General features: G+C 41.2%; 1 protein-coding gene across 1 annotated transcript in view, besides 3 other annotated features; it reads right to left on the bottom strand.

Annotated features, from left to right (window-relative positions):
• The window catches only part of MOCOS (molybdenum cofactor sulfurase), an 84661-nt gene that overhangs the window by 20060 nt on the left and 47081 nt on the right, over positions 1 to 17520 (bottom strand). The window contains exons 10-11 of the mRNA NM_017947.4: positions 3098 to 3176; positions 815 to 939 (exon numbers count right to left, since the gene is read on the bottom strand). Of these exons, the coding sequence (NP_060417.4) occupies positions 815 to 939; positions 3098 to 3176 (204 nt within the window). The remainder of the gene's footprint in view (positions 1 to 814; positions 940 to 3097; positions 3177 to 17520) is intronic.
• Positions 4404 to 4904: an enhancer, noted in NCBI's record as "H3K4me1 hESC enhancer chr18:33827157-33827657 (GRCh37/hg19 assembly coordinates)". NCBI's record gives its function as "activates a minimal SCP1, AML or CMV promoter by ChIP-STARR-seq in naive H9 embryonic stem cells {active_cell/tissue: H9 hESC(naive)}" and the evidence as "EXISTENCE:reporter gene assay evidence [ECO:0000049][PMID:30033119]".
• Positions 10839 to 11372: an enhancer, noted in NCBI's record as "OCT4-NANOG-H3K4me1 hESC enhancer chr18:33820689-33821222 (GRCh37/hg19 assembly coordinates)". NCBI's record gives its function as "activates a minimal SCP1, AML or CMV promoter by ChIP-STARR-seq in naive H9 embryonic stem cells {active_cell/tissue: H9 hESC(naive)}" and the evidence as "EXISTENCE:reporter gene assay evidence [ECO:0000049][PMID:30033119]".
• Positions 11373 to 11908: an enhancer, noted in NCBI's record as "OCT4-NANOG-H3K4me1 hESC enhancer chr18:33820153-33820688 (GRCh37/hg19 assembly coordinates)". NCBI's record gives its function as "activates a minimal SCP1, AML or CMV promoter by ChIP-STARR-seq in naive H9 embryonic stem cells {active_cell/tissue: H9 hESC(naive)}" and the evidence as "EXISTENCE:reporter gene assay evidence [ECO:0000049][PMID:30033119]".

Below are 17520 nucleotides of genomic sequence, written 5' to 3'. Positions count from 1 at the left end.
GGGGAGACAGCACTGAAAAAAACAGGCAACAATCCCTATCCTCATAGAGATTGCTTACATCTACTAAAAGGAAAACAGAACAAAATAAGTGAGCAAAATATATAGCAAGAAGAATGTGAAAAAAATGTGCCACTGAGAAAAATGAGACAGGGAAGGTTGCTACGTTGCTGCAGATTCAGGTACAGGGTGCTGTTCTGAAGAGGGTAGTCAGCCAGGCTTCCCTAAGGAGGTGACATTTGAGCGGACACATGAAAATGATCTTTTCTGCACACCTGGGACTGTTAACTTTCAAAGTACTTTCATCTCTACTGCCTCACTTCATCCTAACAATGGCTTAAGGTGGGAAAAATTGTGGAAACTTTTGAAAGTCTGAGGAGCTGAGGTCTATAGAAGTTGAGGCACCATGGGGTTCAAGGATTCACCAAGGTCACGCCATTGATTGGTGATAGAGCTAAAAACTAGCAAGCCAGGTTTCCTTGCTTCCAGATCCAATCTGAGGACATAGCAAGCTATTAGGGTTTTTATTTAATACAATTGGATTAATTATGCTTTTGAACATGCAGGACTAAGGCTGAATGTTTGGGCAGAGGCTGGACAGCTGGCTTTATGCCCTCCTCAGCCTCCTTAAGAAGATCCTGGAGCCCATTTCGCCTGCTGACCTGGGGCTACTGCAGTAGGTTTCTGCTAAAGGCTGATGACCCCTGCTTTCCATACATCAGCAAGTCACCCGTAAGTGCAGTTCATGGGCTGTTTTGATGTGTGCAAGGGTAAGCCAGGGTTCCTGTTCTCTACGAACCAATTCAAAATGTAATACCTTTTCCATGTTTCTTCTTTGCATTCCTTTGAGAGTTTGAACTTTGTTTGATCAAATGACAAGGACGGCCAAAAAATGTTGACAACCAGCTTGAAATTTTTTCTCCACAATCATAAGTACTTACTCTGGCAAAAGAGAGAGAGAAAGAGTGAACTGTTACATAGTATTTATTTAAATAATAATCTGAATTGCAAAAAGTTTGGTTACAAAATAAAATAAAACAAAACATTGCATGAGCCCTGAAGGCAGCCTGAAGTGACAGATGCTGCAAGGAGATTTCCAAGGCAGGACGACCTGCCATCTGGGGCTTATGTGAAGCTTTCAGACCAAATAAAAAGCTTCAACATTTCTCCTGGAAAGACCTTTTTACTATTAATTATTGACACAGAGAACCACAAAGCTTAGAATGCTTAGAATTTGAGAACTTCCAGAGTGATATGTTGCTTTCAGAAGCCCTTGAACCCAGAAATATGTCCTATTTGTTCACTATGGGCCTGATTGAAATATCTTCTCTCACATGGACTGACGTGTTTGGTTTGTAAAATGAACACTGTGCCTGTGAGTTACAGATATAAGTACTGCATTTACCAATCTGGTGTTTGAAAACTCAAGAATCCTCTAGAATTTTGTTTATCCAAAATGTATTGTTCTGACTGAAAATGTGCTAAATGAATGTGTAAGTTGGTGACATTGGTGCAAGTACTGGTAAGAAGATGTAGAGTGTGCTTCACTCTTTAGCCTCCAAGGCATCCTGGGACCAGGGCCCAGGATTCTCCACTGTGTCAAGCACAATCATCACATCATCACCTTTGTGCTTTCCTGGGGGTATAGCCCTTCACACTCCCAGAGTGATCCTCTGCCTATCACCCAGAGCACTAACGACTGGGGTCCAACTTGGATGTAGCTTTAGCATTTAACATACCATTTCCTGCCTTGCATGACAGCATATGTTCAGGGCAGTGCACAAAGACGTGCAATATGGTTTGATACCATGCAGTATCACCATCTACTGAGCACAGACCTACCCACTAATGAGTGCATTGTGTTAACTGGTAGGCAATCAGCACTCTGAAGGTTTTTTATTATACATAAATCTTTAGTGAAGTGTTATATAGTTAACTGTTTTAGTATATGGGCGGGGGTGAAAGGGGAATTGGTTGGGGCTTAAGATAGGATAAATTTCCCAAGATTGGAAAATTTGCTATTCCACATGTATTCAGGTACAGATAAGATTAGATAACAAGGGATGCAGACATTTGATTTATTCAATAAAAAGACTTAGAAACATGTACAATCAATAAACAAAATAGCAATGCTATTACATTCAACCCCACTTTACATTTCCTAGAATTCAGTAGATGATTTATCATCAGCAAACCAGATTAGATAATAACCCATAATATGGGTATATAATCTGTGAGTTATCACCTGAAAGCTAGGTTTTAGAAACCTGAGAGATGTCTTGATAACCCCCCTCACCCTCAGCTTCCTTATCCAATCATCAGCTAGTTCAGGTTATTCTATTTCCAGAATACATACCTGCAGCTTCCTGACTTTCTCTCTGACCCTGGTCCAAGCCTCCATCTTGTCTCACCTGTGTTGCTAACACAGGTGCTTATGTGGCCTTCCTGCTTGCACCCCTTCCCCCTTCCAACTGCTCCACAGGCACCAGCTGGTCTTCTCAACATGCAAATCAGGTCTTTTCCCTCCCTATGAGGCCTCCTCTGGAGTGTTGCAGTGCCCTCCAGACTGTTCCTTCTGTGTCACCTTTTCTTCCCACCCCACACTGTCCTCTTGACACTGTCCCAGGCTCTGAAGGGAACAACATGGGCATTCTAGTGGGAGGGACTAAAGATCAATAAACAGATATATATTAACTTGGAAACAACAAAGGCAAAGGAGATGAATACAAAAGGGGAAATGAAGAGGGAGAGGTTGTTTTCTGTGGGTAGTCATGTGGCCCTCTGAGAAGGGGGCTTTTGAACAGAGACCTGTTGGAGATGAAACTGACAGAGGTGAGAGAACAGCCCTGTGGAGGTATAACTAGGGGAAGAGCACCAGGCAGAGGGAACAGCAAGTGCAAAGACCTGAGAAGGGAGCATGCTTGGGAGGTTTGAAGACCAAAGAGCCAAGAGTGTGGTTAGAGAGAAGCATGCAAGGGAGAAATGGACAGCAACTGGACTGAAGGGTAGCAAAGGATAGATTGCATAGGGCATTACCCTCTTCCCCCTCTGTGCCAGCCTGTCAATAAAGCTGAGATTTTCACGTGCTTCAGAGTCTCACCTGTCAGCACAGACCCTGCTTTGGCGAATCTGAGTCCGTTCACTATTTTCCTCAAGAGGCACCTCTATAGGCTCCATCCCTAATGAACAAAGGTTAAAAACAAATTTATCATTATGTAAAAACAACAGCTACTTGACTTCAAAATATACTACAAAGCTGTAGTAACCAAAACAGCATGGTACTGACATAAAAATAGACACATAGACCAATGTGACAGGATACAGAACCAAAATATAAATCCACACATTTACAGTCAGGTGATTTCTGACAAAGGTGTCAAGAACAAACATTGGAGCAAGAAGAGTTCTCTTCAATAAATGATGCTGGGAAAACTAGATAACCATATGCAGAAGAAGAAAACTAGACCCCTATTTTTCACCATATACACAAATCAACTCAAAATGGATTAGAGATTTAAATCTAAGACCCCAAATTATTAAACTACTAGAAGAAAACATTGGGGAACTGCTTCAAGACATTGGTCTGGGCAAACAATTTTTGGATGAGACCTCAAAAGCATCAGCCTCAAAAGCCAAAATAGAGAAACAGAATTATAGCAAACTAAAAAGCTTCTGCACAACAAGGGAAACAACAGAATGAAGAGACAACCAACAGAATGAGAGGAAATGTTTGCAAAGCATCCATCCAGCAAGGGATTAATAACCAAATAGGAAATCAACAACTCAACAGTGAAAAAAAACAAGTAATTCAATTTTTTTAAATGAGCAAATAATCTGAATAGATATTTCTTGAAAGAAGACATGCAAATGGCTAATCAATTTTTTTTTAATGTTCAACATCACTAATCATCAGGGGAATGCAAACCAAAACCACAATGAGATCTTACCCCAGTTAGAATGGCTATTACCAGAATGACAAAAAATAACAAATGCTGGTGAGGATGCAGAGAAAGGGGAACTCTGACACACTGTTGGTAGGAATGTGAATTAGTACAGCCATCATGGAAAACACTACTGAGGTTCTTCAGAAAACTAAAAATAAAAATACCGTATGATCCAGCAATCCCACTTCTGGGTATTTATCCAAAGGAAAGGAAAATCAGAGGAAAAAAAGAACAGTGGATAGGAGACAGGACTAATGTACAGCTCCCAGTTAGACAGACAGAACAGCATGTAGAGACTCACACTGTGAACTTTTGCTGCATGAACCGCTGCAGGAACATATCAGGAAAACTGATAGAATTCACAGACACTTTGAAAGAAGCAGCTTGCTGCTGCAAACACAAGATGGCCAAAAATTTGAGTTCCCAAAGTGTGAGAAGGTGAGAAGTTGGTCTCCGAACACACATCCCCATTGGGGAACCTGAAAATCCAGATGACAAGGGAAAGATTTACCCTTACCTAGAGCTGAAATGGATTTAGGCAGCCAAGCAAAATATAAAAGTAGAAGCAGCAGCAGGAAGAGCCCTGTAGGGACTCCTGGTCTCCAGCTTGAACCCCAGGAAAGCCATTCCTGGACTTATCTCACAGGGGTTCTTGGGGAAGGGAAGGCAGCCAGTGGAATTGGAGAGGGGCCACAGGGTGAAGGAAGCTCCTAGCTTGACTTTGTAATGATTTTAACTGAGCACAAACTTTCCTAAGTAGAATGCAGAAGAGGAGACAAATGGGAAGTAAAGATACAAGCGTAGAAGCTGCAGCCAACTGTCCTGGCAGGCAGGGAGGAGCAAGGCCTGAGAGCCCTGCTTGCTTTCTCAGCAGGAGGCTTGTAGCCTGGGGCAAGATCTCAGCCCTGCTTACCAGATGCCTGTACAGAAACCTCAGTGCTGCTGGGGAGGCACAGTGGGAGTGAGACTGGCCTTGCTGGCTGTGTGGGAGCTGGGTGAGGTCTTTCAATGCCAGCTTTCCCCCATGTCTCTGGAGACCTATTTGACACAGCAGAAACAGCCATAATTCCCCTGGGAACATAACTCCATTTGCCCAAGAACCAGCCCCCCACCCCCAGAGTGGCCACAGCAAGTCCTGCCCAAGGAGAGTATGATCTCAGACCCACCTAACCTGCCCCCACCTGATGGTTTCTCTCTACTTGCCCTGATAGCCAAAGACAAATGACATGGTCTCTTGGGAGCTCTATGGCCCTGTTCATTACCTGAGGAAGCCAAGTACCTATCCTAGCCAAGGCAGGGCAAAATTATATCCCCCTTCTACTGCTGCAGCTGGTGCTCTCTTGAAAGCAGCACCTTCTGGCTGGAGGCCAATCAACTCAAGCCATTACAGCAACTCATAAGAGAACAACTCTGCTCCAAAGAAGGAGAAAACAACAGCTAATTTCACCACCTGCAACACCCTGGTTAACCAGAGGTCCTGAGTCTGTCCATGTGACAACTTCACTGCTAGCATAACCAGCATTTGAGAAAACCACCGCACTAAACAAAACTACAACCAAGGACTAAAACCAGCACACTAAAACAAAACTACAACCAAGGACTCCCAACAGAGTCCACTTTACTCCCCGCCACCTTCACTAGAGCAGGTGCTGGTATCCATAGCTGGAAGACGTGAAGATGAATCACATCACAGGACTCTTTGCAGACAGTTCTTAGCACCACCCTGGAGCCCCAGAATCCTGCTAAATGGCTAGAACCAGAAAGGCAATAACAATCACTGCAGTCTGGCTTTTTAGAAGCCGTATCCTTAGAGGAAGGGGGAGAGCACCACATCAAGGGAGCACCCCTGGGACAAAAGAATGTGAATAGCAGCCCTTGAGTCCCATATCTTCCCACAGAAACAGTCTCCCCAAACAAGAAGTAACCAGAAAAGTCATTCTGGTAATATGATAAAACAAGGTTCTATAACACCATCAAAAGATCACTCTAGCTCTCCAGCAATGGATCTAAACCAAGAGGAAATCTCTGAATTGCCAGAAAAAGAATTCAGAAGGTTGACTATTAAGCTACTTAAGGAGGCACCAGAGAAAAGTGAAAACTAATTTAAAGAAATTTAAAAAAATACAGGATATGGATGAAAAAGTCTCCAGAGAAATAGATATCATAAAGAAAAGATGATCACAACTTCTGGAAATGAAAGACACACTTAGAGAAATGCAAAATACACAGGAAAGTTTCAGCAATAGTATTGAAAAAGTAGAAGAAAGAACTTCAGAGCCCAAAGACAACGCTTTCAAATTAACCCAATCCAAAAGACAAATAAAAAAGAATTTTAAAAAATGAACAAAGTCTCCATGAAATTTTGGATTATTTTAAATGACCAAACATAAGAATAATTGGTGTCCCTGAGGAAGAAGAGAAATCTAAAACTTTGGAAAACTTATTTGAGGGAATAATCAAGGAAAACTTCTCTGATCTCACTAGAGATCTAGACATCCACATATAAAAAGCTTAAAGAACACCTGGGAAATTCATAGCAAAAGGATTATTACCTAGGCACATAGTCATCAGGTTAGCTAAAGTCAAGATGAAGGAAAGAATCTAAAGAGCTGTGAGGCAAAAGCATCAGTAACCCAAAAGGAAAACCTAACAGATTAACAGCAGATTTCTCAGCAGAAACCTTGCAAGTCAGAAGGGATTGGGGTCCTATCTTCAGCCTCCTTAAACAAAATAATTATCAGCCAAGAATTTTGCATCCAGTGAAACAAAGCTTCATAAATGAAGGAAAGATAAAGTCGTTTTTAGAAAAAGAAATGCTGACAAAATTTGTGACTACAATCCAGCACTACAAAAAAAATGGTAAAAGAAGTCCTAAATCTTAAAACAAAACTTTGAAATACACCAAAAATAGAACTTCCTTAAAGCATAAAGCTCACACAGCTTATAAAACAATAACACAATAAAAAAAAGGTATTCAGGCAACAACTAGCATGATGAATAGAACAGTACCTCATATCTCAATAGTAATGTTTGAATGTAAATGGCCTAAATGTTCCACTTAAAAGAGGCAGAATGGCAGAATGGATAAAAATCCACCAACCAAGTATCTACTGTCTTCAAGAGACTCACCTAACACACAAGGACTCATATAAACTTGATGAAAGGGGTGGAAAAAGATATTCCATGAAAATGGAAACCAAAAGTGAGCAGGAGTAGCTATTCTTATAGCAGACAAAACAAACTTTAAAGCAACAACAGTTTAAAAAGACAAAGAGGAATATTATATAATAATAAAAAGAACAGTCCAACAGGAAAGTGTCCCAATTCTAAATCTATATACACCTAACACCGGAATTGGAGTTCTCAAATTTATAAAACAATTGCTACTAGACCTAAGAAATGAGATACATGACAACACAATAATAGTGGGAGACTTCAATACTCCACTGACAGCATTAGACAGGTCATCAAGACAGGTCAACAAAGAATCAATGGACTTAAACTATACCCTAAAACAAATGGACTTAACAGATATTTATGAAAATTCTACCCAACAACTGCAGAGTATACATTCTTTTAACTGGCACATGTAATATTCTCCAAGATGAACCATATCATGGCCATAAAACAAGTCTCAATACATTTAAGAAAATTGAAATTAGATCAAGTACCCTTTCAGACCACAGTGGAACAAAATTGGAAATTAACTCCAAAAAGAACTCTCGAAACTATACAAAGACATGGAAATTAAATAATCTGCTCCTGACTGATCCTTGGGTCAACAATGAAATCAAGATGGAATTTAAAAAATTCTTTGAACTGAATGATAACAGTGACACAACCAATCACAACCTGTGGGATACAGCAAAAGTACTGCTAAAAGGAAAGTTCATAGCAGTAAATGCCTACATCAAAAAGTCTGAAAGAGCACAAATAAATAATCTAAGGTCACACCTCAAAAAACTAGAGAATAAAGAAAAAATCAAACCCAAACCAAACAGAAAAAAAAAGAAATAACAAAGATCAGAGTAACACTAAATGAAATTGAAACAAACAAAAAACAACACAAAAGATAAATAGAACAAAAAGCTGGTTCTTTGAAAAAATAAACAAAACCAATAGATCATTAGTGTGATTAACCAAGAAAAGAAGAGAGAAGATTCAAATAAGATCAATTAGAAATGAAATGGGCAATATTACAATTGAAACCACAGAAATACAAAAGATCATTCAAGGCAACTATGAACACCTTTATGCACACAAACTAGAAAACCTAGAGAAGATGGATAAATTCCTGGAAATATACAACCCTCCTAGATTAAACCAGGAAGAAATAGAAACTATGAACAGACCAATAACAAGTAGCGAGACTGAAATGGTAATAAAAAAGCTGCCAACATAAAAAAAGTCCAGGACCAGATGGATTCACAGCTGAATTCTGTCAGACATTCAAAGAAGAACTGGTACCAATCCTACTGAAACTATTTCAAAAGGCAGAGACAGAGGGAATCCTCCCTAAATCATTCTATAAAGCCAGTATCACCCTAATACCAAAACCAGGAAAGGACATAACAACAAAAAAAGAAAACTACAGACAAATATCCCTGATGAATATAGATGCAAAAATCCTCAACAAAATCCTAGCTAACTAAATTCAACAGCATATCATAAAGATAAGACACCATGATCAACTGGGTTTCATACCAGTGATGCAGAGTTGGTTTAACTTACACAAGTCAATAAATGTGATATGCCACATAAACAGGAGTAAAAACAAAAATCATGTGATTATCTCAATAGATGCAGAAAAAACATTTAACAAAATCCAGCAACGCTTTATGATTAAAACCCTCAGCAAAGTTGTAGCCAGAGCAATCAGACAAGAGAAAGAAATAAAGGGCATCCAAATCGGTAAAGAGGATGTCAAACTGTCCCTGTTTGCCAATGATATAACTGTATACCTAAAAAACCTTAAAGACTCATCCAAAAAGCTCCCAGATCTGATAAATGAAGTTAGTAAAGTTTCAGGATACAAAATCAACGTACACAAATCAGTAGCACTGCTACACACCAACAGTGACCAAGCTGAGAATCAAATCAAGAACTCATTCCCTTTTACCACAGCTGCAAAAAAAAATTAAAATACTTAGCAATATACCTAACCAAGGAGGAAAAGATACCTACAAGGAAAACAATAAAACACTGCTGAAAGAAATCATAGATGACACAAACAAATGGAAACAAATCTGATATGGTTTGGCTCTATGTCCCCATCCAAATCTCATCTTGAATTGTAATCCCCACTCATAAAGGGAGGAAGGTGATTGGATCACAGGGGCAGTTTTCCCTCTGATATTCTCATGACAGTGAGTTCTCATGAGATCTGATGGTTTTATAAGTGTTTGGAAGTTCCTCCTACCCCCTTCTCTCTCCTGCCACCATGTGAAAAATGTCCTTGCTTCCCCTTCACCTTCCACCATGATTGTAAGTTTCTTGAGGCCTCTCCAGCCATGTGGAACTGTGAGTCAATTAAACTGCTTCCTTTATAAATTACCCAGTCTCAGATATTTCTTTATAGCAGTGTGACAATGGACTAATACAGTAAATTGGTACCAGGAGTTTGGGGCATGGCTACAAAGATACTTGAAAATGTGGAAGAGACTTTGGAACTAGGTAATGGGGAGAGGTTAGAACAGTTTGGAGGGCTAAGAAGACAGGAAGATGTCAGAAAGTTTGGAACTTCCTAGAGACTTGTTGAATGGTTTTGACCAAAATGCCGATAGTGATGTGGACAGTGAAGTCCAGGCTAAGGTAGTCTCAGATAGAGATGAGGAACTTGTGGGGAAGTGGATCAAAGGTCACCTTGCTATGCTTTAGCAAAGAGACTGGTAGCATTTTGCCCCTGCCCTAGAGATCTGTGGAACTTTCAACTTGAGAGAGATGATCTGAAATTGGAACTTATATTTAAAAGGGGAGGGTAGCAGAGCATAAGAGTTTGGAAAATTCACAGTCTGTGCTACAGAAAAGAAATTCAACGCTGCTGTAGAAATTTGCATAAGTAACCAGGAGCCAAATGTTAATTGCCAAAGCAATGGGGAAAACTGTCTCCAGGGCATGTCAGAGATCCTGGTAGCAGCCCTTCTCATCACGGCCCGGAGGCCTAGGAGGAAAAAAATGGCTTCGCGGGTCAGGCTCAGGGCCCCACTGCTGTGTGTAGCCTCAGGATTTGGTGCCCTGCATTCTGGCCACTCGCAATCCAGCTGTGGCTAAAAGGGCCAAGGTACAACTTGGGCTATTGCTTCAGAAGGTGCAAGCCCCAAGCCTTGGTGGCTTCCATGTGGTATTGGGCCTGTGGGTACACAAAAGTCAAGAACTGAGATTTGGTAACCTCCACCTAGATTTCAGAGGATGTAAGAAAATGCCTGGATATCCAGACAGAAGTCTGCACAGGGGTGGATCCCTCATGCAGAACCTCTGCTAGAGCAGCACAGATGGGTAATGTGAAATTGGAGATTCCACAGAGTCCCCACAGGGGCACTGCCTAGTGGAGCTGTGAGAAGAGGGCCACTGTCCTCCAGACCCCAGAATGATAGATCCACCAACAGCTTACACTTTGCACCTGGAAAAGCCCCATCACTCAACTTCAGCCCATGAAGAAGCTGCCCAAGGCCATGGGAGCCCACCTCTTGCATCAGTGTGATCTGGATGTGAGACATGGAGTCAAAGAAGATCATTTTGAACCTTTAAGATTTAATGCCTGCCCTGCTGGATTTCAGACTTACAAGGAGACTGCAGACCATTTGTTTTGGCCAATTTCTCCCATTTAAAATGGGTATATTTACCCAATTATTGTACCCCATTATATCTTGGAAGGAACTAACTTGTTTTTTCTTTGACAGGCTCCTAGGTGGAAGGGACTTGCCTTGTCTCAGATGAGACTTTGGACTGTGGACTTTTGAGTTAATGCTGAAATGAGTTAAGATTCTGGGGACTTTGTTGGGAGGAGCCAAGATGGCCGAATAGGAACAGCTCCGGTCTACAGCTCCCAGCCTGAGCGACGCAGAAGACGGGTGATTTCTGCATTTTCATCTGAGGTACTGGGTTCATCTCACTAGGGAGTGCCAGACAGTGGGTGCAGGTCAGTGGGTGCACGCACCGTGCGCGAGCCGAAGCAGGGCGAGGCATTGCCTCACTCGGGAAGCACAAGGGGTCAGGGAGTTCCCTTTCCTAATCAAAGAAAGGGGTGACGGACGGCACCTGGAGAATCGGGTCATTCCCACCCGAATACTGCGCTTTTCCGATGGGCTTAAAAAACGGCGCACCACGAGATTATATCCTGCACCTGGCTCGGAGGGTCCTACCCCATGGAGTCTCGCTGATTGCTAGCACAGCAGTCTGAGATCAAACTGCAAGGCGGCAGCGAGGCTGGGGGAGGGGCGCCCACCATTGCCCAGCTTGCTTAGGTAAACAAAGCAGCTGGGAAGCTCGAACTGGGTGGAGCCCACCACAGCTCAAGGAGGCCTGCCTGCCTCTGTAGGCTCCACCTCTGGGGGCAGGGCACAGACAAACAAAAAGACAGCAGTAACCTCTGCAGACTTAAATGTCCCTGTCTGACAGCTTTGAAGAGAATAGTGGTTCTCCCAGCACGCAGCTGGAGATCTGAGAACGGGCAGACTGCCTCCTCAAGTGGGTCCCTGACCCCTGACCCCCGAGCAGCCTAACTGGGAGGCACCCCCCAGCAGGGGCACACTGACACCTCACACTGCAGGGTACTCCAACAGACCTGCAGCTGAGGGTCCTGTCTGTTAGAAGGAAAACTAACAAACAGAAAGGACATCCACACCAAAAACCCATCTGTACATCACCATCATCAAAGACCAAAAGTAGATAAAACCACAAAGATGGGGAAAAAACAGAACAGAAAAACTGGAAACTCTAAAAATCAGAGCGCCTCTCCTCCTCCAAAGGAACGCAGCTCCTCACCAGCAACGGAACAAAGCTGGACGGAGAATGACTTTGACGAGCTGAGAGAAGAAGGCTTCAGACGATCAAATTACTCTGAGCTACGGGAGGACATTCAAACCAAAGGCAAAGAAGTTGAAAACTTTGAAAAAAATTTAGAAGAATGTATAACTAGAATAACCAATACAGAGAAGTGCTTAAAGGAGCTGATGGAGCTGAAAACCAAGGCTCGAGAACTACACGAAGAATGCAGAAGCCTCAGGAGCTGATGTGATCAACTGGAAGAAAGAGTATCAGCAATGGAAGATGAAATGAATGAAATGAAGCAAGAAGGAAAATTTAGAGAAAAAAGAATAAAAAGAAACGAGCAAAGCCTCCAAGAAATATGGGACTATGTGAAAAGACCAAATCTACGTCTGATTGGTGTACCTGAAAGTGATGGGGAGAATGGAACCAAGTTGGAAAACACTCTGCAGGATATTATCCAGGAGAATTTCCCCAATCTAGCAAGGCAGGCCAACATTCAGATTCAGGAAATACGGAGAACGCCACAAAGATATTCCTCGAGAAGAGCAACTCCAAGACACATAATTGTCAGATTCACTAAAGTTGAAATGAAGGAAAAAATTTTAAGGGCAGCCAGAGAGAAAGGTCGGGTTACCCTCAAAGGGAAGCCCATCAGACTAACAGCGGATCTCTTGGCAGAAACCCTACAAGCCAGAAGAGAGTGGGGGCCAATATTTAACATTCTTAAAGAAAAGAATTTTCAACCCAGAATTTCATATCCAGCCAAACTAAGCTTCATAAGTGAAGGAGAAATAAAATACTTTACAGACAAGCAAATGCTGAGAGATTTTGTCACCACCAGGCCTGCCCTAAAAGAGCTCCTGAAGGAAGCGCTAAACATGGAAAGGAAAAACTGGTACCAGCCGCTGCAAAATCATGCCAAAATGTAACGATCATCAAGTCTAGGAAGAAACTGCATCAAGTAACGAGCAAAATCACCAGCTAACATCATAATGACAGGATCAAATTCACACATAACACTATTAACTTTAAATGTAAATGGACTAAATGCTCCAATTAAAAGACACAGACTGGCAAATTGGATAAAGAGTCAAGACCCATCAGTGTGCTGTATTCAGGAAACCCATCTCACATGCAGAGACACACATAGGCTCAAAATAAAAGGATGGAGGAAGACCTACCAAGCAAACGGAAAACAAAAAAAGGCAGGGGTTGCAATCCTAGTCTCTGATAAAACAGACTTTAAACCAACAAAGATCAAAAGAGACAAAGAAGGCCATTACATAATGGTAAAGGGATCAATTCAACAAGAAGAGCTAACTATCCTAAATATATATGCACCCAATACAGGAGCACCCAGATTCATAAAGCAAGTCCTGAGTGACCTACAAAGAGACTTAGACTCCCACACATTAATAATGGGAGACTTTAACACCCCACTGTAAACATTAGACAGATCAACGAGACAGAAAGTCAACAAGGATACCCAGGAATTGAACTCAGCTCTGCACCAAGCGGACCTAATAGACATCTACAGAACTCTCCACCCCAAATCAACAGAATATACATTCTTTTCAGCACCACACCACACCTATTCCAAAATTGACCACATAGTTGGAAGTAAAGCACTCCTCAGCAAATGTAAAAGAACAGAAATTATAACAAACTATCTCTCAGACCACAGTGCAATCAAACTAGAACTCAGGATTAAGAATCTCACTCAAAACCGCTCAACTACATGGAAACTGAACAACCGGCTCCTGAATGACTACTGGGTACATAACGAAATGAAGGCAGAAATAAAGATGTTCTTTGAAACCAACGAGAACAAAGACACAACATACCAGCATCTCTGGGACACATTCAAAGCAGTGTGTAGAGGGAAATTTATAGCACTAAATGCCCACAAGAGAAAGCAGGAAAGATCCAAAATTGACACCCTAACATCACAATTAAAAGAACTAGAAAAGCAAGAGCAAACACATTCAAAAGCTAGCAGAAGGCAAGAAATAACTAAAATCAGAGCAGAACTGAAGGAAATAGAGACACAAAAAACCCTTCAAAAAATTAATGAATCCAGGAGCTGGTTTTTTGAAAGGATCAACAAAATTGATAGACCACTAGCAAGACTAATAAAGAAGAAAAGAGAGAAGAATCAAATAGACGCAATAAAAAATGATAAAAGGGGATATCACCACCAATCCCACAGAAATACAAACTACCGTCAGAGAATACTACAAACACCTCTACGCAAATAAACTAGAAAATCTAGAAGAAATGGATAAATTCCTTGACACATACACTCTCCCAAGACTAAACCAGGAAGAAGTTGAATCTCTGAATAGACCAATAACAGGAGCTGAAATTGTGGCAATAATCAATAGCTTACCAACCAAAAAGAGTCCAGGACCAGATGGATTCACAGCCGAATTCTACCACAGGTACAAGGAGGAACTGGTACCATTACTTCTGAAACTATTCCAATCAATAGAAAAAGAGGGAATCCTCCCTAACTCATTTTATGAGGCCAGCATCATTCTGATACCAAAGCCAGGCAGAGACACAACCAAAGAAGAGAATTTTAGACCAATATCCTTGATGAACATTGATGCAAAAATCCTCAATAAAATACTGGCAAACCAAATCCAGCAGGACATCAAAAAGCTTATCCACCATGATCAACTGGGCTTCATCCCTGGGATGCAAGGCTGGTTCAATATATGCAAATCAATAAATGTAATCCAGCATATAAACAGAGCCACAGACAAAAACCACATGATTATCTCAATAGATGCAGAAAAGGCCTTTGACAAAATTCAACAACCTTCATGCTAAAAACTCTCAATAAATTAGGTATTGATGGGACATATTTCAAAATAATAAGAGCTATCTATGACAAACCCACAGCCAATATCATACTGAATGGGCAAAAACTGGAAGCATTCCCTTTGAAAACTGGCACAAGACAGGGATGCCCTCTCTCACCACTCCTATTCAACATAGTGTTGGAAGTTCTGGCCAGGGCAATTAGGCAGGAGAAGGAAATAAAGGGTATTCAATTAGGAAAAGAGGAAGTCAAATTGTCCCTGTTTGCAGATGACATGATTGTATATCTAGAAAACCCCATTGTCTCAGCCCAAAATCTCCTTAAGCTCATAAGCAACTTCAGCAAAGTCTCAGGATACAAAATCAATGTGCAAAAATCACAAGCATTCCTACACACCAACAACAGAAAAACAGAGAGCCAAATCATGAGTGAACTCCCATTCACAATTGCTTCAAAGAGAATAAAATACCTAGGAATCCAACTTACAAGGGATGTGAAGGACCTCTTCAAGGAGAACTACAAACCACTGCTCAACGAAATAAAAGAGGATACAAACAAATGGAAGAACATTCCATGCTCATGGGTAGGAAGAATCAATATCGTGAAAATGGCCATACTGCCCAAGGTAATTTACAGATTCAATGCCACCCCCATCAGGCTACCAATGCCTTTCTTCACAGAATTGGAAAAAACTACTTTAAAGTTCATATGGAACCAAAAAAGAGCCCGCATTGCCAAGTCAATCCTAAGCCAAAAGAACAAAGCTGGAGGCATCACACTACCTGACTTCAAACTATACTACAAGGCTACAGTAACCAAAACAGCATGGTACTGGTACCAAAACAGAGATATAGATCAATGGAACAGAACAGAGCCCTCAGAAATAACGCCACATATCTACAACTATCTGATCTTTGACAAACCTGAGAAAAACAAGCAATGGGGAAAGGATTCTCTATTTAATAAATGGTGCTGGGAAAACTGGCTAGCCATATGTAGAAAGCTGAAACTGGATCCCTTCCTTACACCTTATACAAAAATCAATTCAAGATGGATTAAAGACTTAAATGTTAGACCTAAAACCATAAAAACCCTAGAAGAAAACCTAGGCATTACCATTCAGGACATAGGCATGGGCAAGGACTTCATGTCTAAACCACCAAAAGCAATGGCAACAAAAGCCAAAATTGACAAATGGGATCTAATTAAACTAAAGAGCTTCTGCACAGCAAAAGAAACTACCATCAGAGTGAACAGGCAACCTACAAAATGGGAGAAAATTTTCACAACCTACTCATCTGACAAAGGGCTAATATCCAGAATCTACAATGAACTCAAACAAATTTACAAGAAAAAAACAAACAACCCCATCAAAAAGTGGGCGAAGGACATGAACAGACACGTCTCAAAAGAAGACATTTATACAGGCAAAAAACACATGAAAAAATGCTCACCATCACTGGCCATCAGAGAAATGCAAATCAAAACCACAATGAGATACCACCTCACACCAGTTAGAATGGCAATCATTAAAAAGTCAGGAAACAACAGGTGCTGGAGAGGATGTGGAGAAATAGGAACACTTTTACACTGTTGTTGGGACTGTAAACTAGTTCAACCATTGTGGAAGTCAGTGTGGCGATTCCTCAGGATCTAGAACTAGAAATACCATTTGACCCAGCCATCCCATTACTGGGTATATACCCAAAGGACTATAAATCATGCTGCTATAAAGACACATGCACACGTATGTTTATTGCGGCATTATTCACAATAGCAAAGACTTGGAACCAACCCAAATGTCCAACAATGATAGACTGGATTAAGAAAATGTGGCACATATACACCATGGAATACTATGCAGCCATAAAAAATGATGAGTTCATGTCCTTTGTAGGGACATGGATGAAATTGGAAATCATCATTCTCAGTAAACTATCACAAGAACAAAAAACCAAACACCGCATATTCTCACTCATAGGTGGGAATTGAACAATGAGATCACATGGACACAGGAAGGGGAACATCACACTCTGGGGACTGTTGTGGGTGGGGGGAGGGGGGAGGGATAGCATTGGGAGATATACCTAATGCTAGATGATGAGTTAGTGGGTGCAGCACACCAGCATGGCACATGTATACGTATGTAACTAACCTGCACAATGTGCACATGTACCCTAAAACTTAAAGTATAATAATAAAAAAATTTAAAAAAATTGATTTTGGGGTACTGTTGAGAAGGCATGATTGGTTTTGAAATGTTAAAAGACATGAGATTTGGGAGGGGCCAGGGGCAGAATAATATGGTGTGGCTCTGTATCCCCATCCAAATCTCATCTCAAGTTGTGATCCCTAGATATCAAGGGAGGGAGGTGATTGGATCATGGGGACAGTTTCCTCCATGCTGTTTGCATGATAGTGAGTAAGTTCTTATGAGATCTGATGGTTTTATAAATGTTTGGAAGTTCCTCCTTTGCCCTTCTCTCTCTTGCCACCATGTGAAGAAGGTCCTCATTTCCCTTTGCCTTCCACCATAATTGTAAGTTTCCTGAGGCTTCCCCGGCCATTTAAAACTGTGAGTCAATTGAACCTCTTTCCTTTATAAATTACCCAGTCTCAGGTATTTCTTTATAGCAGTGTGAAAACAGGCTAACACAACAATACAAATGGACTAATGCTCATGGATGGCTAGAATCAATATTGTGAAAATGACCATGCTGTTAAAAGAAATATACAAATTCAGTGCAATTCCCATCAAAATGC

This window comes from Homo sapiens, chromosome 18 (genome assembly GCF_000001405.40).
Source record: "Homo sapiens chromosome 18, GRCh38.p14 Primary Assembly".
NCBI classification, from domain to species: Eukaryota; Metazoa; Chordata; class Mammalia; order Primates; family Hominidae; genus Homo; species Homo sapiens.
This window is presented reverse-complemented; position numbering and strand designations above follow the sequence as displayed.